The 807-nt window shown below is 42.0% G+C and overlaps 1 annotated feature.

The window, feature by feature from the left end:
- Positions 274-353: an enhancer, noted in NCBI's record as "active region_5346". NCBI's record gives its function as "activates an Ori minimal core promoter by ATAC-STARR-seq in GM12878 lymphoblastoid cells {active_cell/tissue: GM12878}" and the evidence as "EXISTENCE:reporter gene assay evidence [ECO:0000049][PMID:35858748]".

Here is an 807-nt window from a genome sequence, read left to right as displayed (position 1 = left end):
TTAAACATGAGGGCCTGACATCTGGTTGAGACACAAAAATAACATGAACTAAGCTAAGTGACTTCAAACATATTAAGAGTTCCTGGGAAATACACATGGGTATATTGAATAGTTCAAGGAAGTTTTCATAGAAAATACATAAATTGCCCTAAATTCTCCCAGGCATCTCTATTTCCCATGCCACTAGGTGATTTCTCTGATCACATTGTATTCCATTTGTTCTCTTGTCTTTCTTCTCTCCCAGAATGTAAATTCTGTGAGGTCAGAAACCATGTTTGTGTATCATTAACCTTGTGGCCCCATAATCTAATGCAATGCCTACTTCATAATAGATAGTAGGAGTTTGAGAAAAGTTGAACTAAAGTGAGATGTCACTTGAGAACTGGGTATGAAAGCATGATTTAAGATTAACAAGAGAAGAGCATTCCAGGTGGCGGCACTAGTGGAGGAAAGAAATGAGGAAGTAAGATCGAATGTGGTATGTGTGGTAGTAGTAATCTGGATGGAGCAGAGGTAGAAGTCTGAAAAATTGAAGGCCATAGCTATTCCAGTGTTGATGGGGCCACCTGTGAGCTGGAAGGGAAGACTTCCCAGTCCAGAAGGCAAACTTGAGAACTTATAGGCCCCATAAGGGAAATGGGAAAAGGTAGCCACAACCATCGTGAGAACAGAAGCTGTAGGAGCACTGGAGAAACTTGCAAAGTGCTCATGATCTCCCAACAACAACACAGATTCTGTGTACAGCCAGCCCAGAGGAATCGGACTATGGCAACTGCTTCATCAATGCTGCTAGACTGCATTCCAGGG

Source organism: Homo sapiens, chromosome 11 (genome assembly GCF_000001405.40).
Source record: "Homo sapiens chromosome 11, GRCh38.p14 Primary Assembly".
In the NCBI taxonomy this organism is placed as follows: Eukaryota; Metazoa; Chordata; class Mammalia; order Primates; family Hominidae; genus Homo; species Homo sapiens.
The sequence above is the reverse complement of the archived record's forward strand: the minus strand, read 5'-3'. Positions and strand labels throughout refer to the sequence as shown.